At 42.8% G+C, this 27,527-nt stretch overlaps 1 long non-coding RNA gene across 1 annotated transcript, besides 3 other annotated features; it reads right to left on the bottom strand.

The window, feature by feature from the left end:
• Positions 2,834-3,404: an enhancer, noted in NCBI's record as "H3K4me1 hESC enhancer chr11:8214713-8215283 (GRCh37/hg19 assembly coordinates)". NCBI's record gives its function as "activates a minimal SCP1, AML or CMV promoter by ChIP-STARR-seq in naive H9 embryonic stem cells {active_cell/tissue: H9 hESC(naive)}" and the evidence as "EXISTENCE:reporter gene assay evidence [ECO:0000049][PMID:30033119]".
• Positions 3,581-3,630: an enhancer, noted in NCBI's record as "active region_4381". NCBI's record gives its function as "activates an Ori minimal core promoter by ATAC-STARR-seq in GM12878 lymphoblastoid cells {active_cell/tissue: GM12878}" and the evidence as "EXISTENCE:reporter gene assay evidence [ECO:0000049][PMID:35858748]".
• Positions 3,674-3,968: an enhancer, noted in NCBI's record as "tiled region #8819; K562 Activating non-DNase unmatched - State 12:CtcfO". NCBI's record gives its function as "activates a minimal TATA promoter and a strong SV40 promoter by Sharpr-MPRA in K562 cells {active_cell/tissue: K562}" and the evidence as "EXISTENCE:reporter gene assay evidence [ECO:0000049][PMID:27701403]".
• On the bottom strand, positions 16,323-27,500 carry RIC3-DT (RIC3 divergent transcript). Its single transcript, NR_187234.1, has 5 exons — positions 27,381-27,500; positions 26,582-26,685; positions 21,204-21,273; positions 18,383-18,417; positions 16,323-16,479 (listed from the first exon to the last, which is right to left on the bottom strand). It is a non-coding gene; the product is annotated as an RIC3 divergent transcript (long non-coding RNA).

Below are 27,527 nucleotides of genomic sequence, written 5' to 3'. Positions count from 1 at the left end.
TATCCCTATCCCTACACCCATGATGGCTAAGAAAGTGTTCTCAGGGGCGTAAGTTTCAGGAAGGCATTGGCAACTATGATAATTTCAAGTTATATAAATTGTAAGAGCAAAGATAGGGGCTCTTAGTGAAAAAGAAGCTCCATGTTTTCTTTCTCCCAACCCACACCTAGTTGAATCCACATCTAAGACTATTAGATATGTATACAAGGCTTAGGAGTACCCCCATGAACTTCTGTTCTCATGAGCTCCCTTGGGCTATGCTTAGGTCCACTCTCTGGTCACCTCTTCCCCGGCAGATGGAGCATCATGGCAGAGTTGGTGGTGTGTGATAGACTGCAAAAATGGCTGTAAGTTATTCTTCTACTTTCCGTTCTGTAATGTGACTTGAAACATATCCCATCAAGAGTCTTTTTTCCTATCCCTTGAATCTGGGGTGGTTTTTGTGAATGGCTGAAAGAATATGGCAGAAGAGACACTTCAAATTCTAAACCTACACCAAAAGAGGCTTTACCTGCTTCCATTTGCTTTCCTTGAACCTTGAGCTGTCCTGTGACCAAGTCCAGGCTAGCTTGCTAATTGATGACAGACATGTAGCCCTGTTACCCCTGTACCCCCAAGTGACGTCCAGTCAACTTCCAGAAGCAGAGCTGTCAGCTGTGTGAGCGATGCCACCCTAGATCATCCAGCCCCTAGCTGAGCCTCCAGCTGAAGGCACACACGTAAAGAAGCTTAGCCTGGAGCAACGAAACCAGACTCAAATTAGCAGAACCACCCAGCCAGCCCCTGGACTCATAAGCAATAATAGATGGTTATTACTTTAAGCCACTAATTTAAGGGAGGGTTGGTTTGTTATGCAGCAAAAGCTACCAGACACAGGGTGAAATGGAGAAGAGATAAGAAATGCATTGTCCTATGTAACAAAAAGATTATATGCTAATCATAGTATCTGACACATCACAGGGCCACTTCTCTTCTGACAAAGGCACCCCTTTCTCCTTTCTTCTGGGTTGATGCAGCCCCACATAAAGATGCATGACTTGCCACGTGGTGCAGATAGGATACAGCTCCTACTTTCCCCCTCAGTCAGTTACCCTTGTGCATGGCACAACTTGCTCAACTGCAAGCAGCCTCCTTGCATGCCATCAAAGCGTCTTCTTTTGCCCTCTCTAGGCAGCAATACTGTACTATGCTATACCCCAACACAGCTCACTGGACAAGAACTTGGTACCTGACCAGGTGATGGCAAATCATATTCTTGCTTTTGGAAATCTGGATTATAAAATTGGAGAAAGTCAGTTAGTAGTAGGAGTAGAAGGTAAACAAAGATGCATCTAGAAAGGTCTTACAGTAGAGTATGGGGGCGTGAGTGCTGAAGGGCTGTGGAAGGTTATGGCAAGCTGAAATTGAGAAATCGTAAGTAAAAAGGAACTGGAAACACAGAGAGAATACAGAGGGTTGTGAGAAGAACGGTGATATCTGGCAGAGGAGCAGATACACTGGGCATGGCTTAGTTGGGTTAATGACACAGCACCACGGTGAGGAGTATGAGGACCTGTCCTGTCACTGAAGTCCTCCAGCCACCAGGGATCTGGAACTAGCTTCCACCTAGACTCTTGAGACCCTGCACTTTTAGGGTCCCGTCTGGGTTTCTGAAAGACTCAGATTCTTGGCTTATTTGTCTCCCTTACTTGGGTTGACCCCAGTGATGCTCTGTTCCTTGTATACTAATGACCCCCAAGTTAACCAGAAGCTTATCTCCCAAGACCCATGACCTCACAGATCCAAAGGCAGGCAAATCCCATCACTACCCATCTATGAACTTTCTTCTCAACAGTCCCCACCTGTGCCCCAGGTCTTGGTAAGACAAACCTAGGGGAAATGACTGCCAGGGTCAGCAGGGTGTGGGGCTGCAGAGCAAAGGAAAATGTGCCATCAGGAAGCAGCTATGGCACAAACACCCAGACCTACTGTCACTGCTGATCCAGCCCACAATGCCTCTCTCTCTGGACAAGATTCTTCCAACACCCAGTGTATACTCATATCTGGGGAGTCACCACCACCCATGAAGTCCTCTCTCCCACCTCAGGAAGGAATCTCTCTGCTCTCAGGCCTTGCTAACCCTCTCCCTTTAGGACCCAGTCATCCCAGAGCTGGAAGACCCTATAGAGATTACCCTGTCTCATTTGTAAATGAGGACCCAAAGTCACAGAGGCTGACCAAAGCAGAAAGCAGAAAGTGTAAGAATTGGAACCCTTAATTCCTGTCTCCTTCCTATTTGAAAAGGGCCCCAGCCAGCAGAGAGGGTCTATTAGGAAAACTGCGGTCAGTGAAAAATAGTGTGCATTCATTCATTCTGTTTTGATCAGTGATCGTGTGCCAAACCCTGTACTTAACAAGCTGAACTCACTGTGATTCCCTTAAATAATATAATCTTCAACATTCTCTTTGGACCAACCCAACCCAAGCCCAGAGCCTGGAGCCCAGAGCTCAGCTCAGAGCCAATGACAGAGCCCAAACCCAGATACCACAGGATACCAGTGACCCCAGAGGCCCCCAGAAAATTATCAATATGGGACACCCACCACGATCAGCCTTCTGTTTCCCATCTTGGCAGTGCAGGTGGAAAGCGTTCTTTTTCCTCAGCTGTAGTCCCAGAGATTTGGCCTCAGCTGGCCTGAGACCTGCTCTAGAATAAGGAGTCTGAGCTCAGTCAAGCCTTAAATCCAGTCACTAACCTTTCCTTTCCCCCCTACTGAGAGTATTTCTCAGGCAGTGTCCACCAAAACCAGAGCAGCTTCCATCCACTGGGGCTTGGCCAACACTCCCACCATCTTATGATGGAGGTACCATTAAAACTTTCATTTTACAGAAGAGGAAACTGGGGCTCACAGAAGAAATCATTAGCTCTGAGCCACGCAGATGGTAACTAGTGGAGTGGAGACAAGAAGCCATGTCTGACTCCACAGCCCAGGCCCTATTAGGCTGCTGAAGAAGAAAGGGCATCTGCAGGCCTCCTGAGGAGCAGTGCCTGGTGACTGTGCTGAAGGCAGCAGATGCTACAGCATCTCTGCCCAGGCCGGGGTCGCCATAGCGTCTGGGGTCCTGTCTGCTGCAATAGTGCTGGTGATTCAGTCCAAACCAGGCATCCTGAATCCCAGGCAGGACAGAGCTAGTTGGTGTCTGTGGAAGCTCTCATTTCAGGCTAGGGGGCCAGCCCAAGACCAGGGATGGTGGAGCCCAGGCTGTTTGCTGCTCTGGGTCCCCTCTTCAGGACACTGTAGTGGACATATGGGGTTTTGCCTTGAGAACAGGACTAAGTCAGTGAGGCTGAGCTGTAGGGGCCACTGGGAACAGGCTCAGAGCCCACATGACCCAATCCTTGCCGCAGGACCCTGGACACAGACTGCAGTGGACTTGGGAGAGCTGCCCAGAAGCTGCTTCAGCCTGAGAGCTGGGGCAACGCCGCTGGCAGGAGCTGGCTACACAGGGGCAGGCTTCTCAGTGGGAGGGTGCCCTGAGGGCCTGTGGCCAATCCCGACCCCTACCTAGACCCACGTGGAGCCTAAGCACTGGGCAGGGTGGGGTAGACCAGACTACTGGAAGAAGAAGGGACACCATGGCCCCAGCACTCCTGGATAAGCCTCCCCTTAGCAGCTCATGAGGGTAGTGGGTGATTCTTCAGGAGGATACATGACCCTTTATCTGATCATCCAGCTCTTTGGCAAGAAGGACAGTGATTTCCCTCCTATTCTCTAGCCTGCAGAATCGTCTGCTGGTGATCCCAGGAGTTTTCACCTTGGTTCCCATACACACACTGCCATCTGCTGGCAGGATGGAGGAGCAACCCAGAGGCTGCACTAAGTTCAGGCTCAAGCCAGAAGTCGTGTCCCTAGAAAAAACCATCTCCTGCTAGTTCCAGAGGATGCCCCAGCCTTCCTCTTGGCTTGCCTGCCTTCTGCTTCCTCTGGCCCCCTATGCCCTCTCTCACGTCCCCTGTGGATACCAATTTCTCTCTCTCGGGTTCCTCTTCCCCACCTCTCCACCTTAGACAGTTGCTTCCTGAGGGCACATTCAGTTCCAAGCACAGAGGTGCAGGTACAGAACAGGGGTTCACCACACAGTTCCTGAGGGCTGCAGCAGGAGGGCTTTGGGGCATGTGGGCCCTTGGGACAGGAGATGATACCTATGCCTTCTGTCATGCGCGGACCAGGAGAGAGAGGGCACAGGGTCCAACCCGTTGGAGGTCTGGAGGGAAGGTTACATGGAAGTGCTGCCGCCAATCTGCCTAAGGGCTGCAGGCCCAGAAACCAAGCCCATTCCAGGCTGCCCTGAAGTCTGGAGGAGTGTGTGTGCCTGCGTGCGTGTGTGTGTGTGTGCGCGCGCGTGTCCGCGCATGCCTCTGCCGCAAACTCTGGTAGCAAGTCAGAGCCACCTAGCAGAGCATCAGAGGTGGAAGAGCCCTGTATTAGTGCGTTCTCACGCTGCTAATAAGGACATACCTGAGCCTGGGTAATTTATAAAGAAAAGAGGTTTAATTGACTCACAGTTCAGCATGGCTTGGGAGGCCTCACAATCATGGTGGAAAGCAAATGAGGACAAAAGTCACATCTCACATGGCAGCAGGCAAGGAGAGATTGTGCTGGGGAACTCCCATTTATAAAACCATTGGATCTCATGAGATTTATTCACTACCATGAGAACAGTATGGGGGAACCACCCACATGATTCAATCATCTCCACCTGGCCCTGCCCTTGACACATGGGGATTATTACAATTCAAGGTAAGATTTGGGTGGGGACACAGCCAAACCATATCAAGCCCTTTGAGACCTCCCATCAGAACCTCCACTTTATGGATGAGAAAACTGAGGCTCAGAAATAGGGTGCATCACACTGACCCTTCTGATAAGATGGACTATGAAAGGACATTCCTGAAGGACTTAGAGGACATCTAGTCTAATCCCTTCACTTACAGATTGGGAAACCAGGGCCTGGAGGATAGCAGGAGGGAGGGATACTGATCTGTGTGAAGTTAAAATGCTAGTTAGTATCTGTTCTGTGCTTTTTCTGTGCACCAAACTGCCCCAGTGTGAAGAGGTCAGCTCCTAATGTAGAATCTGCTGAAGTCAGGAGGGCTTCAAGGTTAGGGTACAGAGGGTGGGCAGAGTGGCTGCTTCCAGTGAGGAGGAAGGCTGAGGCAGCAGCCACTAGCTGCCCTGTCCTGCCATGATGCTTCCACCATATCCCTTGCTGCGCAGAGCAAGGCCAAGGCAGGATGCTTATTTATTCTTGTGCTTTTATTTACTCATCTTTTATTCATTCACATCCTGTCGGTATATATTGTTTACATTATAAATCATATGTATTCCCACACTCCCTCTTATGGAAAAGGCCCAAGGATACAGATTGTTCTGAGGCTCTGAAAACGGCAGTGGTGGCAGCACTATGTCTCCATCCTCCCTGGGGCCTCCCAACAAGCTCCAAAATTCCCATATGCCAAGCTGAAAGCTGAGGCCACCTAGGCCGCAGGGCACCCACTCAGTGCAGCATGTGCATCTGACCTTCGGCAGAGGAAGCGTGAGACAGAGGAGGAATGAGAGAGGGTGGAGCTCTGCAGGGAAACCCAAGGATGGCATTTTCCTCGCAGCCCCTTCCTGAGCTGGCAAGTAGGGCTGGGTTGGGGAACCAGCTGCCTGAAACCATCTGAAGGGAGTAAGCAGTATCTAAGATAGTCTATAGGAAAGCCTCAAGCCAAAAAACAGAGAGACAGATTGCAAACACCAAGACCAAAGGAGAAGAAACAGATTTGTGAAGAAGAGATGGAGCCAAGAATTGGTAACCTAATGGGGCACGGCACTTGAGAAGAAGCAAGTCAGGAATAAATGCAGCAGGCCTAGGAGGGGCCTGGCAGATAGTTGCAGTTTGCATTTATAGACTGACTTAAGTAGGGTGGGAGGGCCTGGAGTTCTGGCCAGACTGAGATTTCAAAAGCTGGCCTAAGCAGATGTATCTTGCAGCTGTGAGAATGAACAAAAGGAACACACACACACACACACACACACAAACACACACACCACACACACACACACACACGCACACCCTTCACAAAGCTCCTTCTTCCCCTTTGGTCTTGGCATTTGCAATCCATCTCTCTGGTTCTTGGCTTGAGGCTTTCCTATAGATTAGCTTGGATTCCACTTACTCCCTTCAGATGGTTTCAGGCAGCTTGTGCCCCAGCCCAGCCCTATTTGCCAGCTCAGGAAGCAGGTGTGGGGGGGGAATAATATATATATATATAATATATATATACACACACTATATATATACATACATATATATACACTATATATATACACAATGTATATATACAATACACACACAATGTATATATACAATACACACACAATGTATATATACAATACACGCACAATGTATATATACAATACATGCACAATGTATATATACAATACACGCACAATGTATATATACAATATGCACAATGTATATATACAATATATACATATATAGTATACATGTATATACACTATATATACACAATGTATATATACACTATATATATACACAATGTGTATATATACACAAATATATATATATTTGGGGGACTGTTTATGTGTGTGTGTATATATATATATATATATGTATATATATGGAGGGAACAAAACCCCAAACTATTTCAATTGCATATCAAAACTTTTGGATATGTCTAAAGCTCTACTCAGAGGAAGAGTCATAGTCTCAAACACATTGTTAGACAAGATAAGTAACTAATAGCTGGCACCAAAGGCAAACTCTGAAATCACAGTGGCTTAACATATTAAAGGTTATTTCTTGTTCAGTGTCCATGCCTGTTTCCAACAGTCATTAAGAATGTAGGCTGATGGAGTAGCTATGCCATCTGGAATTCATGGCCTATAAGGCGGTGGTAAAAATGGACGAAAGAGGAGGGAGAAAACATACTGGCTCTTAACCCTCTCAGTTCAGACAAAACACACATCACTTCTGCTCACAACAAATGGGCCAGAGCAACTCACATGGCCGAAACCAAATTTCAAGGGACCCTGTGATATGACAGAGAGTAGCATGTGTGTATCCAGTGCTCCCTAGCTTAGCTACACATTAAACATTAGACAAGAAACAATTACAATAATTAAATTGATTCATGCATCCAACTAAACAAGAAAAAATACAAAATCATCCCAAGAAAAGTAGTAAGAAGAAATTAATAATAAAAATATAATTTAATTCATTAAGAACAATTTATTAACTACCCAATTGATGAAAAGGCTAAAATAAAGTAGATAAATTACTATATGTTAAGTATCCCTTATATGAAATGCTTGGGACCAGAGGTGTTTTGGACTTCAGACTTTTTCAGATTTTGGAATATGTGCATATACATAATGAGATCTCTTTGGGATGTGACCCAAGTCTAAACATGAAATTCATTTATGTTTCATATAGACCTTACACACATAGCCTGGAAGTAGTTTTACACAATATTTTAAATAATTTTGTGTATAAAACAAGTTTGTGTACACTGAGCCGTCAGAAAGCGAAGGTGTCACTGTCTCAGCCACCATGTGGACAATTTGTGGTTGTTTGGCATCACCATCTTTCCTGACTTTGAATTTATATGCTACCAATAAGCATTTTCTTCTATTTATTCACACAGAAGTACTTAACAGTAAAAAATATGATATACCCTTAATACAGTGAAAAAATAATGTGTTCAAGGTAACTAAGCAGCACAGTAGCATTCCCAGAATACCCGGATCAGCTGTTAAAAACAGCAACAACGCGCAACGACAGGCTTTTGGCCTCCTGACATGGCGTCAGGTCAGTGTTAGAAAAGGTGTGGATTTTGGAACATTTCAGACTTCAGATTTTCAGATTAGAGATGCTTAACCTGTAGTTAATTCATCAAAAAGAAGCACAAATACACAAAACAGGGAAATAACCACAAATATGTAGAAAGTTAAAATATTATTATTTAAAAATTTTCCATAACTCCATGCTAATGTATTTTTAAAGTTGTGTGAAATTATTTCTAGAAAAATGTTATCAAAATTGACTAAAGACATGTTAATAATCATGGAAGATATTGAGAAAGTTGTAAAAGAAATAGTACTTATATATACATGCATATGCACACATATACAAATAGTTTCTCATGTAACCTCTTCCAGACCTCTGAGGAACAAATAATTCTGAAGTTGAACTAGTCCAGTGCATAAAAAGGAAAGAAAATCTCAGGAGTCTTTGTAACAAAACAAGTTAAACAAATGTTGATGAGAACACATGGACACATCGCAGGGAACAACACACACTGGGGCTTGTCGGGGGACGGTGGGGGTGAGGGGCAGAGCATCAGGAAGAATAGATAATGGATGCTGGACTTAATACCTAGGTGATGGGTTGATCTGTGCAGCAAACCACCATGGCACATATTTACCTGTGTAACAAACCTGCACATCCTGTACAAGTACCCTGGAACGTAAAATAAAAGTTGAAGAAAAAAATACGTAAATAAAAAGTATGATCTATCCATGCTTAAAAACATATGCTGTCATAAGAATATCTTTAAAACATGTTACATGAAAAAATCAAGATGTATATCATATAAATTTTAATGGATACATTTATATATGTATATATAGTAAATATATACATGCAGATACATGAACATTGATCGTAAAACTTGACAAGACATGAAAACTACTACAGATTAATTTCATTTTTTTAAATAAATTTTTTATATATTTATTTATTTATTTCTTTTGAGACCGGGTTAGGAGACTGGCTAATTTTTGTATTTTTGGTAAAGATGGGGTTTCACCATGTTGCCCAGGCTGGTCTTGAACACCTGGCCTTGAGCGATCCACCACCTTGGCCTCCCAAAGTGCTGGGATTATAGGCATGAACAACCGCACCGGTCTAATTTCACTTTTGAATAGGAAAGCAAGAATCTTAAATAAAATATTAGCAAGTAGAACGTAGTAGCATATTTTTGGCAATACCAAGTAAAATTCATACCAGAAATGCAAGAGTGATTTAAAATTAGGAAAATGTTAATCTAATTACCATGTTAATACACTTAGATGTCCTCAGACTAAAAGTCAGCATTATGCTTAATGTTAAAACTTCAGAATCATTTCTATCAACATCAGGAATAAAATCAGGGTATACTGTAACACCAGTATTATTTAACACTGTTGCGCAGTTATTGACCAATATAAACAGCCAGAAGAAATAAATACAAGACGTGAAATTGGGAAGAGGAGGTAAAATTACAATTATTTGTAATTGATATGAAAAAATCCAAACAATTTAACGGAAACAACACATGGTAAATGACAATTAGAAAACTGAAATATAAAAACAGATTTTTCTTATATAAAAAATGGGTTAAATATAGTATAGGAAAAAAGTTCACATTTACAGTAGTGGTAAAAGCAGAAATGCCCAGAAATGCATTTGAGAAAAAGTGTTTAGAACCTATAAACCTCTACTGAGGAGTGAAAAGACTAAAATAAATGAAGATACAACTAATGTTTGGCTATAAACAAAATAAACTTAATTTTATAAAGATGGTAATTATCAATAAATAGATGTATACATTAATTGTGATACCAATCCTACCAATGGCTTAGAAAGTGATTATAATGTTAATCTGGAAAAGATATTTGTACGTATAGGCAGTAAAATTCTAGATAAGAGGAATGATAATGAGTTAGCTCCACCTGATAACGAAACATATTATTAAGCTATAGTAAATAAAACAGTACACTACTGACATGGTAGACTGATAATTGGCACAGAATGGAGAGTCCAGAGAGAAATCAAAACATAGATGTGAATTTACTATAAGGGTAGCATTTTGAATCAACATTTGAAAGCCTGGTTGTTCAATAAATGGTGCTGACTCATCAACTAGTCTTTTTTGTGGGGGCAGGGGATGGAGAAGCAGCAGCACCACCATTATTACTATTATCCGGACTCTGACCTGGAGGGGAAATGGTTATGGAGAAGGGGCTTAAATGAGGGTCATAAGATTATAATACAGAGAACCTGTGACTTTAGGATCCCTGCTATGAGCCTTATAAATCTCTTGAAACTGAGGACAAATGGAAGACAGGCACACTGGGCAGGTAAAATAACAGATTTGCTGAGGGGCCGTTTGCCACTACTGGCTTCAGTTGAAGCTGTGAACTATCTTAACTCACTCTTCTATCTCCTCTCCCCACACTTTTCTTCAACAAATAACCCACTCCATTTAAAGATGAGAACCAATCCCCTGGAAATTACACAGGACCTTAGCAAAGGGTCAGGGCTGGAGAACATAAGAAGAGGAACATAAAGAAAAAGCAGATGAAGAACAAAGTTCAAGAGGAATTACCCGCGCAAACAACGGAAGGACTCGGACAAATAATTTCCCACAGCTTTCATTAAATTATAGATGACATGATCTCTCTTTCTGAAGAAAAATTTAGAGAACAGACACAAAGGTATGGAGAAGAGCTTATAAAAAATGAAATAATAATCTGGCAAAAGTCAAGAAAATAAGCAAAAGCAAAAGAGAGAGAGAGAGAAGATTACAGAGATCCACTTCACATCAGAAACAGCAAATAACATTTAAAAATGAGTGAAAATACAGCCAGAGTCCTTACGGTCAGAATTAAGGAAATCACATAAGACAAAATGGAATAAAAAATTTTTAAAAATAGACATTATCATGAGGAAGTTGGTAGATAAGGAAACCCAATATATATAATGGGTGTTTCTTTTTCTTTTTTCCTTTTCTTTTCTTTTTTTTTTTTTGAGAGGGAGTCTCGCTCTGTCGCCAAGCTGGAGTGCAGTGGCACAATCTCAGCTCACTGCAATCACCGCACCACCACGCCCAGCTAGTTTTTGTATTTTAGTAGAGACAGGGTTTCACCATGTTGGACAGGATTTCACCATGTTGGACAGGATGGTCTTGATCTCCTGACCTCATGATCCGCCCACCTCGGCCTCCCGAAGTGCTGGGATTACAGGAGTGAGCCACCGCGCCCAGCTGGGTGTTTCTTAAGAAGACAATATTCCCAATAAAATAAAAGCTACCTACCTGTCTTTCACATACTTACCTTTTTTTCCTAGCTGTATCTGCATGCATGTATGAATGTGTATATCAGAGGGGTTTCCGAAATGATGTTCATCAAGAGTTAGAGATAGTCGTTTCTGCATGGTGATGTTTGAGAGTGAATATTAGCTTTCATCTTTGTATCTTGTATAAGAAACATGTGTTAGTTTGATAATGTCATTTTCATTCAAAAAGAAAGTCAAATAATTAAAACAACCAATCGTTTTGAAAAGTCAAGAATTAAAAGCAATTTATATAAAAATTAACTTTAAATGGGTAATAGACCTAAAGGTAAAATGTAAAACTATAAAACTCATAGAAGCAGGGATAGGAATATATTTTGACCTTGGGTTAGCCAAAGGGTTCCAGATGTGACACTAGAAGTACAATCCATAAAATAAAGTATTGATAAATTAAACTCCAGCAAAATTAAAAATTTTTTCTGTGAAGAATATGGTTAAGGAAATGAAAACATTGGCTGGGCATGGTGGCTCATGCTTGTAATCCCAGCACTTTGGGCAGCCGAGGTGGGCAGATCACTTGAGCTCAGGAGTTGAAGACCAGCCTGAGCAACATGGTGAAACCCCATCTCTACAAAAAAATACAAAAATTAGCTGGGTATGGTGGCATGCACCTGTAGTCCTAGCTACTTGGGAGGCTGATGGAGGAGGATGGCTTGAACCCAGGAGGCAGAGGTTGCAGTGAGCTGAGGTCGCACCACTGTACTACAGCTGGGGCGACAGAGCCAGACCCTGTCTCAAAACAACAACAACAAAACATAACATCGGCCACAGACTAGCAGAAAATATTTGTAAATCACATATCTAACCCTCAAAACTCAACAATAAGAAAACGACTCAATTTTTTTAAATGGCAAAGGGTTTAAATAGACACTTCACCAAAGGTATACTGATAACAAATAACCATATGAAAAGATGCTCAACATCTTTAGTCATTAGGTAAGTAAAAAATAAAAACACAATGACACACCAGCGTATACACTAACATGGCTAAAATAACTAAAACAAAACTGACAATATTAAGTGCTGATGAGAATGTGGAGCAACTGGAACTCTCAGATGGTCCTGGTAGAAATGCAAAATTATACAGCCACTCTGGAAAACATAAGCGCTTCCCTAAAAAGCAAAACATATGTTCACCTATGTCCCAACCATTTCATTTTTTTTGTATTTAGAGAAATAAAAACTTATGTTAACATAAAAATCTGTACTCAAATGTTTATAGCAATATCTCGTGATTACCAAAAACTGGAAACAACCCAATTGTCCTCCAGTACGTGAGTAGATAAACTGTGCTGTATACATACACTAGATACCACTCAGCAATAAAAAGCTATGCACTATTGATACACATAACAACTTGGATGAATCTCAAATGCATCATGCTAAGTGAAAGAACCCAGTCTCAAAAGATTACATACCATATAATCACATTTATAAGATATTCTGGAAAAGGCAAAAATATAGGAACAGAAAACAGATCAGTGGTTGCCAGGGGTATGTGATGAGGATGGGTCTTAATAAAGGGGCAGGAGGTGGGATTCTTTGGAACATTGGAATTTTTCTGCTTTGGTTACAAGAATCTATGTAAATGTAAAAACTCATAGAAAAAAGTGAATTTGACAGCTTGTCAATTAAAAACTTCACTGCCTCCCCACACCCTGTGTAAAATTAGCTTTCCACATTCAAAATCTTCTTGATATAAAGTTACATTAACCCAGAAAGTAGATCAGAGGAGCAGGTACAGAACAACACTTGGATCTACAGGTGCCATGACTTTAGGAAGACATGAGATTATATCCTTATGGTGACACGAGCTCATTTACATAGCTGCATCAGTTTCATAGGAAAACAAAAAACAAAAATAAAGCAAGACCACCCAAAGTACAACAAATACAAAAGTATAACACATTACCACTTCGAAGAAATATTGAAAACAAGGCTATTGAGGAGAGTTTCTGCTACGTATTAGTTTGGCACCCATCTTATCTTTGCCTTTTGTTTTGATCATGTAGTATTGAGAAAATCCTACATAGACCATTGGAACGGAATGCAGAGCCCAGAAATAATGACGCACACCTAGAATCATCTGATCTTCAACAAAGCCAACATAAACAAGCAATGGGGAAAGAACTCTCTAGTCAATAAATAGTGCTAGGAAAACCATCTGGATAACTATGCAGAAGATTGAAACTGGACCCCTTCCTTATACCATATACAAAAATTAACTCAAGATGGATTAAAGCCTTTAATGTAAAACCTAAAACGATAAAAACCCTGGAAAGTAACCTATGAAATATCATTTTGGACATAGGACCTGGCAATGATTTCATGACAAAGATGCCAAAAACAATAGCAACAAAAACAAAAATTGGTAAATGGGACCTAATTAAAGTAAAGAGCTTCTGCTGGCAAAAGAAATTATCAACAGAGTCAACGGACAATCTATAGAATGGGAGAAAATAATTGCAAAGTATGCATCAAACAAAGGTCTAATATCCAGAATCTATTTGGAACTTAAACAATTTTACAAACAAAGACCAAACTACCCCTATTAAAAAGTGGGCAAAGAACACGAACAGGTATTTTTCAAAAGAAGACATACATGCAGCTGACAAGCATATGAAAAAAAGCTCAGCATCGCTAATCACTAGAGAAATGCAAATCAAAACAACAATGAGATACCATCTCACATCAGTCAGAATGGCTATTACTAAAAAGCCAAAAAATAACAGATGTTGGTGAGGTTGTGGAGAAAAGGGAATACTTTTATACTGCTGGTGGAGTGTAAATTAGTTCAGCCATTATGGAAAGCAGTGTGGCAATTCCTCAAAGAACTTAAACAGAATTAGCATTTGACTTAGCAATTCCATTACTGGGTATATACCCAAAGGAATCTAAATCATTCTACCATAAAGACACACGCATGCGTATGTTCACGACAGCACTATTTACAATAGCAAAGTCATGGAATTAACCTAAATGCCCATCAGGGGTAGCCTGGATAAAGAAAATGTGGTACATATACATGGTGGAATATTGTGCAGCCATAAAAAAGAATGAGATCAGTTCCTTTGCAACAACATGAATGGAGCTGGAGGACATTATCCTAAGCAAACTAACACAGGAACAGAAAAGCAAATACCATATGCTCTCACTTACAGCTGGGAATTAAACAACGAGAACACATGAGCGCAAAGAGGAAAACAACAGACATTGAGGCCTACTTGTGGGTGAAGGGTGGGAGGAGGGAGAGGATCAGAAAAGAAACCTATCGGGCACTATGCTTATTACCTGGGGCACAAAATAATCTGTACACTAAACCCCTGTGACACACAGTTTGCCTATATAACAAACCTGCACACATACCCCTGAATCTAAAATAAGATAAAAAACAATAATAAAATAAAAAGAAAATCCAGACACTCAGAGAAACATAGAGAAAACAACAATGTATTTTCAGTTCACCTTGCACCCTCAAGATGATCTTCAATTAACTCGTTTCAGAAGCTTGAAAGAGAACAGTAGAAAATCATTATTTTTTCCAACAAAAAATCACAAAATTAACTGCTTACATCCATTGTGAGAAATAAAGTGTCACGAGTGAAACTTAAAATAACATTTTATGGACACACTTAGAAGAAATCCAAATACATTCATAGAAATGGCAGAATGATCTTTATTCCCAAGCTGTATTTTTTTTAAAGTGAGTTAACCTGACAGTAATGTGCCTCAGGAATTGCCAATATATTCAAATTTAATATACAATGCATTCAAGCATGCGTTTTACTCTCAAAAATATTTAAAAATATATTTGAAAACAAAATTAAGAACAAACATTGAAAGACACCCTACAGCACCTAGGTTTCTACAAAACACCATTTTAAAACCAGCCACCTACTGCTTGATAAACACCATCTAAGCCAAACGAGACTGTGAATGATCAGTCACTCAATGCAAACCTGTCCCCACCTTATTTACCCAATTACGCTTTTCAGTTGCTATATAACATATCTATAAGCTTACATTCAGTTAGAGAGGTTATTCAAAGCACTTTGTATAACCCAGATGCTGTTATCTTCATTCATGCACCCAATAAATATTTGCTGAAGTCTACCATATAATAGGCTCTGCTCTGGGCACTGCAGATGCAGAAGTGGGCAAGTAGACAAAACTGCCTGCCCTAATGCAGCCTCTACTCCAGAGGGGAGGGACAGGCAAGCAAGGAAGGGGATAAGCTTTAGAAGGTGGTAAGTGCAAGGAAGAATATAAAGCAGGGCAGGAAGATCAGGAGTGTTGTATTTTAAATACATTGGTCATGGAAAGCCTCATTGAGAAAGGCGATATTTGAGCAAAGACTTGAAGGAAGTGAGAGATTGAGCCATGTACATACTTGGTGTAAGAGCATCCCAGATGGAGGGCACAAGTGCAAAGGCTCAGGGTGGGTGCTTCCCAGGCATGTTTGAGTGAGAATGGGGAGCCCAATGTGGCTGGAGCTGGGAGCAAAGAGACTATAATAAGAGATGGGCTCAGAGAGGTGAGGAAATTATAAACTTCAGCTTCTTGGGGACCATTAACCATGTAAAAACAGGATCTAATTCCTCTCCCTGCCTCCTTCCATTCAAGGATCAATGTCTTCCAGTGTACTAGGGAGAAACAGCCTTTGTCTCAAGCGCATTTTTGACCTGGACACACTGCAGCCTGCTCCTCTGCTTGCACCTGGTGGCACCACAGCGCCCCCCATTCACGCTGTTTCTAGTTACTGGGAGTCGGAATCAGCATTATCATTCATTCACTGCTGCTGCCTCTGCCCTAGCCTTATAAGGGGGAAGTCCCTTGCTCCAAACAGGGAAGAGTGCCCTTCCTTAAACCCTAGGACCACTGACACAGCCCATGGTGTGTCCCAGACTTTTCTAAAGGCTTGAGGAAACCATAAGAGGATTACAGTGCAGGAGGAAAACCTGAATAGCATCTTACTGAAACCATGGCCCACCTGCCATCTCCCACCCTAGGGAGTTCTTTCATGGCTGACTCTCCATTAGGCCCAGCTCCTCCAAAAATCCTAGGTCTTTAAACCCTGTCCTCTCTTCTTCAGTCCCCAGGCTGTCAAATTCCCATCTCTGGGCCACCAGAGGAAGTCCCAAATTTTACCACACAACAACTTTTCATCAAAGGAAAACACAACTTTATTCGGAAAAGCCCCTTCATCCTTGTCTCAATCCCTACTCTGTCCAGATGTACCGCTGGGCCTTGCCTTTGCATAACTGGAAGATTCTTGGAAGCCTTTTCCCTCTGCCAAGATGAAGTCTTCCACAGGCCCTAGAAAGTAGAAACATCTCCCAGCAGCTTTTCTAAACATGTCAACATTTTGCTCCTATGATACTTGATACAGTTTAAAACTATTATGTGTTATGAAAAATATAAACCAGGAGCCACATTACTTGTTTACCGCACACCCAGGTTCCTGGGGTGTAAGTTGCTAACCAAGCAGCAGTTTGTGAACTTAGCGAGGTAGGGCCTATTTAACCATCAGGCACAGTGAGCACTAACATGTTTTAATTTCTCTTAAAATCAGGAGGAAAAAAATAGATTTTTAGGTCAAAGAACATGTCTTAATATATAATACTAACATATTTATCTTTATGCCAATGTGGTCATATAATATAAACATTAATCCCCATTAATGGGAGTCCATGAAGATAAAAATGCCTAAGGACCATGGCAGTCTTAGTGAGTCCCTGAAGCCAGGCAGAGCCTGCCATGTCTTGAACCTGACTGGGTCATTCATGCTGGGTGGTTTGTCTCTCAGATCTTGGTAACAAAGTTGTGGCCAAACCAACATGACTTTTAAGCACAACAGAATAATACTTAATTGCCCATTGTTAATGATGAGTAAGAAGATATTAAAGCTATAATTATTGTATAAAGTATCTCCCAGTGGCAAAGAAGGTAGCCATCAACATAATCAAGTTATGAAAAACACAAAAGAGAGGAATTAGGTAGAATTAAACTGACTTTTTTGTGATTCTTTTCTAGGCTCTAGCTTCTTGATCCATGGTCTCCACTGGAAGCGAGTCAGACATTAAATAATAATAATATGCACCAGTAATAGTATTTAATCTGTGACAGGCTCTATTCAAAATGCTTTGCATGCGAACTCACTTATTCTTTGTAAGAGTCATTAATACTTTCAGTTGCAAGAGACAGAAATCCAATTCAAGCAAGCTTAACACATACAGGGAGGAATGTATTGGTTCACATGGCTGGGAAGAGTTCAGGGCAGCTTCGAGAATCAAAGAATGAGAGGGAACAAAAGGAGTCTTGGGGGTGAAACCATTCGGCACCACCAAGCTCGCTCTCCACCCCCCTTATTTTTGCTAGCTTCTCTCTCACCTTCTTCAAACAGACCTACTCCATGTGGTAGAGAAAATAGTTGCCTGGGAACCCCAACTTTTCCTCTATCTTAGTTTGGGCTCCCCTCAAAGCAAACTCCAAGGCAAAAGTTTGGGTGTACCACTTTATTTGGAAGATGACACCAGAAGCAAAATGAGAGAGCAGGTAAGTGAGACAAAGAAGGGGCGGAAACCCCAAACGGGTGTCTCGGTGAGTGGGTTACAGCTGGAGCAAGTAGATCTCAATCCTACTGGGATGCCTCAAAAAGAATGTGTGGAGCACCACTCAGAATTGAGCCCCTGAAGAACAAGGAAGCTGAGGTGTTTATCTGCCAGCTCCTCTCCTTCATTGTTTAAGAGTTGCTCTGGGAGTGGTAACTCTCCCTAGCTTGCTCCCCAGGCCAGAGAAGCAGCTTTATGCAGAGAGACATAGGAGCTCAGTTTGTGTGCAGGGACTGTCTGAAGATGACCTCAAGGGTGAACCAATGGGATATGAGTGGAGCACCTATACCATCCACTACAACTCCTTCCAGCACCATGCCCCCCCCAAAGCAGCATGGAGCTGCTTCTTCTCCAGCTGCAGCAAGCCCAGCGAGGGACCTGATCTATCAGGCTTAGATCACATGCCTGCTGTGGATCAGTCACAGGTCCAGGGGAACAAAGGACTGCTTCCTAGGAAGAGGAGCAGCTTCATCTGTTGGAATACAAAAGGTTCCCCTAGTCCTTTTCCAGTAACCACAACCCATGTTTGCTACTTAAGTAGTGAATTGTAAGAAGAAGAGAGACTGGCCTTGCTCTGCCCAGTAAGCAGGGAACTGGCAGACACAAACCTGCCTGGTTCTCCAGTTTTCACCAGCTTGATCCCCTGAAGAAAGAAAACAGTCATTATCAAAAAGCCAATTGTCATTCTGCCTCTTTAGACAAATTCCCATTAAAGATAAAGCAAATTTTAATTAGATTAAGTATCCAATTATTGTAATTACATTTTTAAAAAATTCACATCATGAAGATGACCCTTTTTAAAAGGGTTGCAGGAATAATTAGTGTATTCATATTAACCAAAATGTATTGGATAATATTTATACCCAGAAGACAAAGTACATTACACACATTTCACCTTTGGGGAAAGCTTGCAAATGTTTTGGCAGTGGCATGAATATTTATAGGCAAGAGTGTGCTTTAGCAAGATTATGTGAGGAAGCATTTAAATACTCACCAATTTTTACCCAGGGGTAAAGTATACAGAAAATGTAGTGCAGAGATTGTGGATATGCAAAGTGTGACTTAAGCAGGGAATTTCTATCAGTTTGCTTAATTAATTGGCACCAAAGACTATTTCTCCTTATTCAAGGCAGAAATGCCCAAGGTAACCGACTGTGACTTCTCTCTGCTCTGCGTCTTTCAGGGGCAGAGGCCAGTGAGGAGAGTTGGCAGGAAAGCAGTAAGGACATTCTCACCTTGACCACTCACCACCAAGAAACTTCTATCCTCGTACCCCTAACCTTTGCCCACCTGTCCCCATTTGGGTAGAGCTTTAGGATAAGAAATATGGGCCTTCTAGAGGCTTCCTCCCAAAGGTTTTCCTCAAAAACTCTTCCCTTTTCTGATTCCAATTTTCTTTCTTCAGACTTGCCTTTGAGCGGCAGCAGCTGTTGCTGTTTTTGTCTCACACGTGATTGCCTTCCAGCCTCCATCACATTTGCTAGCTCAGTGGGAGGGAGGCAGAACAGTCTCCATTTCACAGATGAGAAAACTAGGGCCCCAGAGCTTGGAATAACTCCCAGAACCACACCACAGAACTGGCCTCGTAAGGAAGCTCCAGTGCCACAGATCCCAGACCTGCATGGCCTCTGCTCTGCCTGTCAGGAAACTGCGTTGTGGCCGCTACCAGCCACAGGAACGTCCCACCTCTGCTGCCGCCTCACCCACCAAAAGAGGTAGGCCAAGCAAGCACTGCTGTTTCCTCTCACAGATAACTTTCAAACCAAAGTTGGACACGGGTATGTCTGATCGGGGAAACAGTTAACTATTTGCCTAGTAGCAAGAGAGGCCAGGAAATGTAGTTTGTTGGATTCTACATTGAGAACCTGAGACTCTCAATGTGGATAATGTCAAATGAAGAAAGGGTATTCAAAGATTGTGGATGTCTACTATTGGCAGGTGTTCATCATATTTCCCTTAACCCTGATCAAAATTCTACCCATCGTTCAAAGTCCAGGTCCCATATGCTGTTCTGTGCATTCTGTCCCATCTCCTGCTTTCCTTCTCTAACCTCTTCATTCTAAACTTTGGAGTTACAGGCCTTGCTCCCTTCTGCTCAGTGTTTTGGGCACCTGGGTCTCATTTTCCTGCTAACCACCTTGATTTCCTGCCTGTGGTAAGGTGTATGACTCTCCACAATGGGGACTCCACAGTGGAGAGAGGGAGAGAGAGAGAGATTTACTTTAGGCAGTTGGCTCATGTGATTTTAGAAGGTGGCAAATCCAGACTCTGCAAGGTGGGCCAACAGGCTGGAGACCCCGGAAGGACAGATGCTGCAGTTCAAATCCAAAGTTCGGTTGGCTACAGAATTGCTTCTTGCCAGGGCGAACTGGTTTTTTATTCTATTCAGGCCTTCAACTGATTGGATAAGGCCCACTCACATTATGAAGAGCAATCTGCTTTACTCAAAGTCTGCCGATTCAAATGTTCATCTCATCCAAAAACACCCTCACAGAAACATCCAGAATTAAGTATGACCACATATCTAGGCACCATCACCCAGCCAAATTAACACACAATTAATCATTACAGTCACTTCAGGGACAAATTTGGTGGCAAAGTCAGTGACTTTTTGAAATGAGACTCTCTGGGGTGTTTCTTCAAGGCAACTCATTGCTGATTCCTGGAGAGAGGTCTAGTTGCTCAGAGCAGTGGCAGAATCAATGTGTTTGAGAAACTAGCAGCCTCATACTTGAATAAGTATCTGCTGTGAACAAGTTCTGTGCTCAGTCATGCCATGGGAGGAGCACCCTATCCTCCCGGGACTCCCAACTAGGTGAAAAGGCCCAGTAAACCCATGAGAAACAGTGTCCACAGGAATCTAGTGAAAGGAAGAGTCAGCATGGGGTGGAATCTGGGAGAGCCTCCTGAAAAAAGTTCATAGTGTTTGGGCCTTATATTTTAGGGAAGATTGGCTATGAAAGGCAAGGAGGGAAGAAAATTGGGTAAAGGAGCATCTTAAGGGAGGAATACACAGAGCTCATGCTGGCCTAGAGAGGAGGGGATGATTTTGGGCAAGAGAAATGAATTATGCTTCAAGGATGAAGGTCCTTGAAAGAGTGGCCAATGAGCTGAGACTAAATATGGCAGCCAAAGGGAGTCATGGAAGGCTTTTGAGCAGGAGAGGATCCCAAGCTCAGATTCCAGCCTGGTCTGGAGGGTAAAGCACACTGGATAAGACTTAGGAGACCATGGAGTCTCTTGAAAACTAGGCTATTGCCTCTGGGCTCTGTTTCCCTTGCAGGGAGTTCATAAGAAGGCAACCACTTCATGTCCGTTTTCTTCCTTCTTGGTCTTCTTCCTCTTTCCTCTATTTTCTTCCCACCCCTCCCCAGCTTCTCTCCCACCTTATTTTTATTTTCCAATCTGAATTCTTCCTCCTCCAAATACCTTGTGTGAGTTCTCCTCTGTCCTCCCACTTCTTTCTTCAGCTCTTCATGGGCCTGTCTTCCAGGGAGACCTTATATTTAGGAAATAAACGGCTGTCAACTTAATCCCGGGAGAAGCTTTTCCACAATGACTTACAAGTAAATGCCCTAGAAATATAGTTTCCTGGCCAGGTGCAGTGGCTCACGTCTGTAATCCCAGCACTTTGGGAGGCTGAGGCGGGCGGATCACGAGGTCAGGAGATCGAGACCATCCTGGCTAACATGGTGAAACCCCATCTCTACTAAAAATACAAAAATTAGCTGGGCATGGTGGCATGTGCCTGTAATCCCAGCTACTAGGGAGACTGAGGCAGGAGAATTGCTTGAACCAGGGAGTCGGAGGTTGCAGTGAGCTGAGATCACATCGCACCGCTGCACTCCAGCCTGGCGATAGAGCGAGACTCTGTCTAAAAAAAAAAAAAAAGAAACACAGTTTCCTCAATTTCCATTCCCCCATGTTAGAATTCAACAAGTGCCCTGATGTTAAAGAAATTTTGACTTTAGGAGTGATTTCATGAACGAAGCCTTCCAACTCATAATGTTAAACATTCTGGGGCACTTTCCCACAGGCTGTCAGATAGGAAAAAGACCCAAGGAATAAACAGATTTCTAAAGTTCAGCAAATGAAGGGTTTAGCTATTGTTTTTGAAGACTATTTCCTCTTTGCTGTCCAAAAGAACTGGCAGACACAGCAGAAGTAGTGTAGAGAATCCTGCTCTGGGAGTTGGGAGAACTGGGTTTCAATCCCAGTGCAGACATGAATGATCAGGGTGATCCATAGCAAATCTTTACCCCTTTGTAGACCCCAGTTTTCCCTTTAATCTAATAAAAAGAGAATTGAGACAACTGACAACTAATCCCTAAGGGCCTCTCGGTCTCCCGTCCCCTGACCACCTTCAGTCTTCTAGAATGGGCCCCTTGGAGGCTACCAGTCTCAAAGGATGCTTTGGGGATGCCAAGTTCAGCCCAGAATGTACTGGTTAGAAAATACTTTTAAGTTCCCAGGGACAGAGCAGAAAATCCTTGGTTGCATTTACAGCAGAAAATCCTTGGTTGCATTTAAACTCCAAAGGGAGCCCCTGTGCAAAGCTGGAGTGATTCCTGAATACCTCTTTGCCCATTTCCAAACCTTCACTACACTCAAAAATTCCTCCCACTGCACCCTGAGTCCTTTCTCAGATAATGGCCCAAACATATCCTTTACCAAGAAAACGAAGGCAATGAGAAATGAACCCCCTTGACTTTCTGTCCCTGCACCACTCCTTTTATTAATATATGCACCTGAACCCACTCCATCTTCTTTTCTCTGAGCTGATCCCTACTGCCAGGGGACTCAATGTCTGGCTCCCATGTCTGCTCCACAATCTGGGCTTTGCTCCTACATTGGTCTCCCTTGCTCTGCTATTTTCCATCACTTCTTTTCTGACATTTTTCCTCTAAATATGTAAACATGCTTTTCTCTTCCCTTAGAAAAGTCACCCTCAAGTTATCACTGTAACTTTTATCCCTTCTTTTCATGCCAGCTCCATATACAGTGGGCTGTACTTGCCATCTCTACTTCCTTGTCATTTGCTCCTTCTTCAGCCTATAGCCATTAGACTTTTGATTTTTTATCTGAATTCCCTATCGTTACTTTTTTTTTTTTTTTTTTGAAGCAGACTCTCGCTCTGTCATCAAGGCTGGAGTGCAGTGGCATAATCTCGACTCACTGCAACCTCTGCCTCCTGGGTTCAAGCCGTTCTCCTGCCTCAGCCTCCTGGATGGCTGGGATTACTGGCATGCACCACCATGCCTGGCTAATTTTTGTATTTTTAGTAGAGATGGGGTTTCAACACGTTGGCCAGGCTGGTCTCGAACTCCTGACCTCAGGTGATCCACCCACCTAGGCCTCCCAAAGTGCTAGGATTATAGGCCTAAGCCACCACGCCCAGCCCCCTACCAATACTTTATTGGAAAACCTAAACCCTTAAGATCTTCAATTTTAGTGCACTCCCAGCTCTGATGTTATACCACCAGCCACCAGAGAGAGCAGCCATCCCAGGTCCCACTCCAAGCTGCCCCAGCTCCATGAGCTGCCTACCAGCTCTGTCGCCTTAAGGAGGCTTCCATGTCTTCCAGGTGCACATCCCAACTGACTGCAACAATGAATATGTTCCAAGCCAAATACTCTGTACTATAACTGTGTTTTCACCTTTCTCTAGGCCACTTCTAGGACTAATGAGATCACGATCTCTGCCCATTTACCTTGGCCACCATCTAAATTCCAAGCCCCCAAGGTCATCAATTTGCACACTGCCCCTCATCTCCATCCTGCTCACTTCATATTTTACTTTGACTCCATTTCTGACTTCCAAAGCTTCCACTTACCGTGCTGTATAGAGTCAAGAGCTATCATCAGAAAAACTCCTATATCCTTGACTTCTTTGAAGTTTCTCTTAACTTTCTTCTTCTTTTTTCTTTTTTTTTTATTTTGAGATGGAGTCTCACTCTGTCACCAGGCTGGAGTGCAGTGGCGCGATCTCAGCTCACTGCGACCTCTGCCTCCTGGGTTCAAGCGATTCTCCTGCCTCAGCCTCCCAAGTAGCTGGGATTACAGGCGCATGTCATCACGCCCAGCTAATTTTTGTATTTTTAGTAGAGGTGGGTTTCAGCATGTTGGCCAGGATGGTCTTGATTTCTTGACCTCGTGATCCGCCCCCCTTGGCCTCCCAAAGTGCTGGGATTACAGACATAAGCCACTGCGCCCGGCCTGTCTTCCTCTAATGAAAACTAGGCTGTTGCCTCTGGGTTCTGTTTCCCTTGCAGATCTCCCAAAGTAAGAGCTATTTTTCTTCCCACAGCTTAAAGCCTGGGAATAGAATAGATGCCCAACTTGTTTCCCCTTGCTGCTTCCAAATTGCTTCTTCCTCTTCTTCCTTTAAAAACCATAGCTCCTGGCCAGGCGCTGTGGCTCATGCCTGTAATCCCAGCACTTTGGGAGGCTGAGGTGGGTGCATAACAAGGATCGAGACCATCCTGGCTAACATAGTGAAACCCCATCTCTACTAAAAATACAACAAAAAAATTAGCCGGGCGTGGTGGCGGGCACCTGTGGTCCCTGCTACTTGGGAGGCTGAGGCAGGAGAATGGCGTGAAGCCAGGAGGCGGAGCTTGTAGTGAGCCGAGATTGCACCACTGCACTCCAGCCTGGGCAACAGAGCAAGACTCCATCTCAAAAATAAATAAATAAATAAATAAATAAATAAAAATTTTTAAACAATTAAAAAAAAACACAGCTCCTTAGAAGAGCATGTCATCTGGCTGCCCATTACTTCTTCTGTTCCTGTCACCTTCCAACCTTGTAGTAACTCCACATTCATTAAAGATTTTAACACTTGGATCACTATTTCCCACCTCATTTCTGTCCTCATACATGGGAACTTCAACATAATGTTGTGACCTAGGTTTCCATTGTGGCTTCTTACAACTTCACATGAGCACTCTCACTAATGCCATCTTCTCCTAGACTTCATTTACTATAGATGGGCTGATGATTTCCTATTGTTTCTAGCCCAAACATCTCTTCTGAGCTCCAGGCCCATATATCCAACTGGATATTTCTACTTGGATATTTCATGGAACTTCAAATTCAGCTAGTCAAAATCTGAACTCTTCATCTTTCTCACAAACCTGATTCTTCTATTCTTAAAATCATGTTATATAGAATTAATGTCTACCATTTACCCAAGCTAGAATTTGGTGGCGGAGGGCGGGGGGGAGTGTGGTCATTCCAGACCCCTCTGTATTTCTTAGAGACCACATCCCATTAGTCACCTCCTCCCTAAGCTGCATCTATAGTCCAGGAGTCCAGAGGTTTTCTGACTAAACCTCCCCAGACAGTAAACCTGGTAGCTAAGAGGGCAAATTCTTGAGTAAGCATGCCTGTGTTCAAATCATAGCATCCAGTTTATACTGTGTAATTGTTGGCAAGTAAATTATGTTTTCTGGGGCTCCATTTTCTTACCTGTGAAATGGGTATATAATAATATTGCTTACCTCTTGAAGTTATTGGGAGGAATAATTATGATATGTAAGATGCCTAAAACATAATTAGTACTCTAACTTTTAGTGATGTTAATAACATCAATGATAATAATGCCCGAGTGAAGCCAGCAGTGGCACCCATCTGGCTGCATGAATCAAGGAAAGAGATTCAGAAGATATCCATTGCTTTAAAAAAATCAAACAATTTTTTTTTAGAGACAGGGTCTCACTCTGTCACCCTGGCTGGAGTGGGTGCCCCTACTGGCTTCATTCAGGCATTATTATCATCTTATATATCATAATTAATTGTGGTTTCACACAATCATAGCTCACTGCAGCCTCAAACTCTTGGGCTCAAGTGATCTTCCCACCTCAGCTTCCTGAGTAGTTGGGACTACAGGTGCACACCACCATGCCTGGTTAATTTTTTACATTTTTTTGGTAGAGATTAGGGCTCTCCCTATGTTGCCCAGGCTGGCCTTGAACTCTTGGCCTCAAGCCATCCTCCAGCCTTGGCCTCCCAAAGCCCTGGGATTATAGGTGTGAGCCACTGTGCCCAGTCTCAACTGCTTTTTAATCAGATTTCCAGCCAATCCTTCATTCAGACCCACTCTGCACCCTTGGCTTTAAAGGAACCCAGTACCTCCAATTCTTAAGAGCATGGGTTCTGAGGGGCAAATTAGTTCACTCCTTACAGGCTTTCAGTCCACAGGCATTTAACTTTTTATGCTCTACACCTGCACTGTCTACTGTGGGCGCCAACGAGCCACACTATCGTGCTGATAAAATTTGAAATATTTTTGCTATCTTGGTTTAAAATATTATTAAAATAAATTTTACTTATTTTTACTTTTTAAATGTGGCTACTGGAAAAATTTAAATTACATATGTGGCTGGTATTATGTGTCTATTGGACAGTGTTGTGTGCGTCTTACAAAATTGACATTTCTCATCTGCTGTCATGTTTTCTATCATTGCATTTAGTCTTGTAGTTTATATACTTTATTTCTTTATTTTCCTTTTTGGGCACTGTCCCAGGAAAGCAAAGATAAATGCATATGTTACATCTGTCATGTTTAACTGGAAGTTCTACCTAAGCTTTTCACAATGTAGCTCCTGCTTATATTTGTGCACTTCGTGTCCTGTCACTACTCTATGGCCCTGCCAAAATGAATTACCAATAGCTTTCTGAACACACCAGGAAGCTTCCAGATTTGCCTTTATTTTTTTGGCCTCCTTTTTCCGGAATACCTTTCTAACCCCTCCCACCTGTCTGCCTATAAGTTACTCATTTTTCAACAGCTAACTCAATTTCACCTTCTCAAAGGGGCTTTTCTTGACTTTTCCTCGTACCAGTTGAGAAGACTGCTCGGGGATCCAGAATATTTCCTGCATTTTTTTTGTTTGGATAATTATCTGTCCTACAAAGGGAATCCATTTTATTCATCAGACCCTGTAGTGCCAAGTTGAGGGTCTAATACATAGTAAAAACTAAAATAATGTTAAATGAACGAATGAAGAGAGTAACAAAGAACGGTGGGATTGTAGAGAAAGGAGAGGCTGACTGAAAACGTTTCGAGAGAGCAGTGTTTTTAAGCTGTTCTTCAGAGAAGTTTTTGACAACTGGAGATGGTGTCAGGAATTTTCCAGGCAGTGGGAACAGGACAAGCAAAGCTTCCCTGAAGACAAGCAATATGCTAAAGAAATAGCAAATCATCCAGTTTGGAAGGAGCATTGGTAAGACCAGATCATGCAGGGCGTTGAGGTTATAGAAAGGAGTTTAACTATTGTTCTGAAGATAATGGAGAGTTAAAAGGTTTAAGCTGGAGAGAAAGAGAATTAGTCTTGTGTTTTAGCATTATCACCTGTGGCTGCAGACGGATAATGAATGCGAGGGGCATGAGTGGAAGCTGGAAGACAGCGAGATCATGGAGATGAGGAGAAACTGGATGTTGTGATCTACGGGTGGGTGGGGGGCAGTGGTGGTAAGTGGGGATAGAGATCCGGGCACGACCGCCGGATGTGTAGGCGGTAGAATGCACAGGACTCAGTAAAAGATGAACATGGGGAGTGAGGGAGGAGTTTTTAGTTAGTATGAACGGGAAGGCGAGGGTACCATTTACAGCGACGGGTAACCACGCGGGAGGAGCAGGTCAACTCCCGACAGTGGAGGTGAAGATGCGTGCGCCTCGCGCACCTTGTCCCTCGCGCGACGCCGTCCGCGCCGCCCGCGGTTCGGTCGGGAGCGGCAGCCCGTGCTCCG

This window comes from Homo sapiens, chromosome 11 (assembly GCF_000001405.40).
Source record: "Homo sapiens chromosome 11, GRCh38.p14 Primary Assembly".
Taxonomy (NCBI): domain Eukaryota; kingdom Metazoa; phylum Chordata; class Mammalia; order Primates; family Hominidae; genus Homo; species Homo sapiens.
The sequence above is the reverse complement of the archived record's forward strand: the minus strand, read 5'-3'. Positions and strand labels throughout refer to the sequence as shown.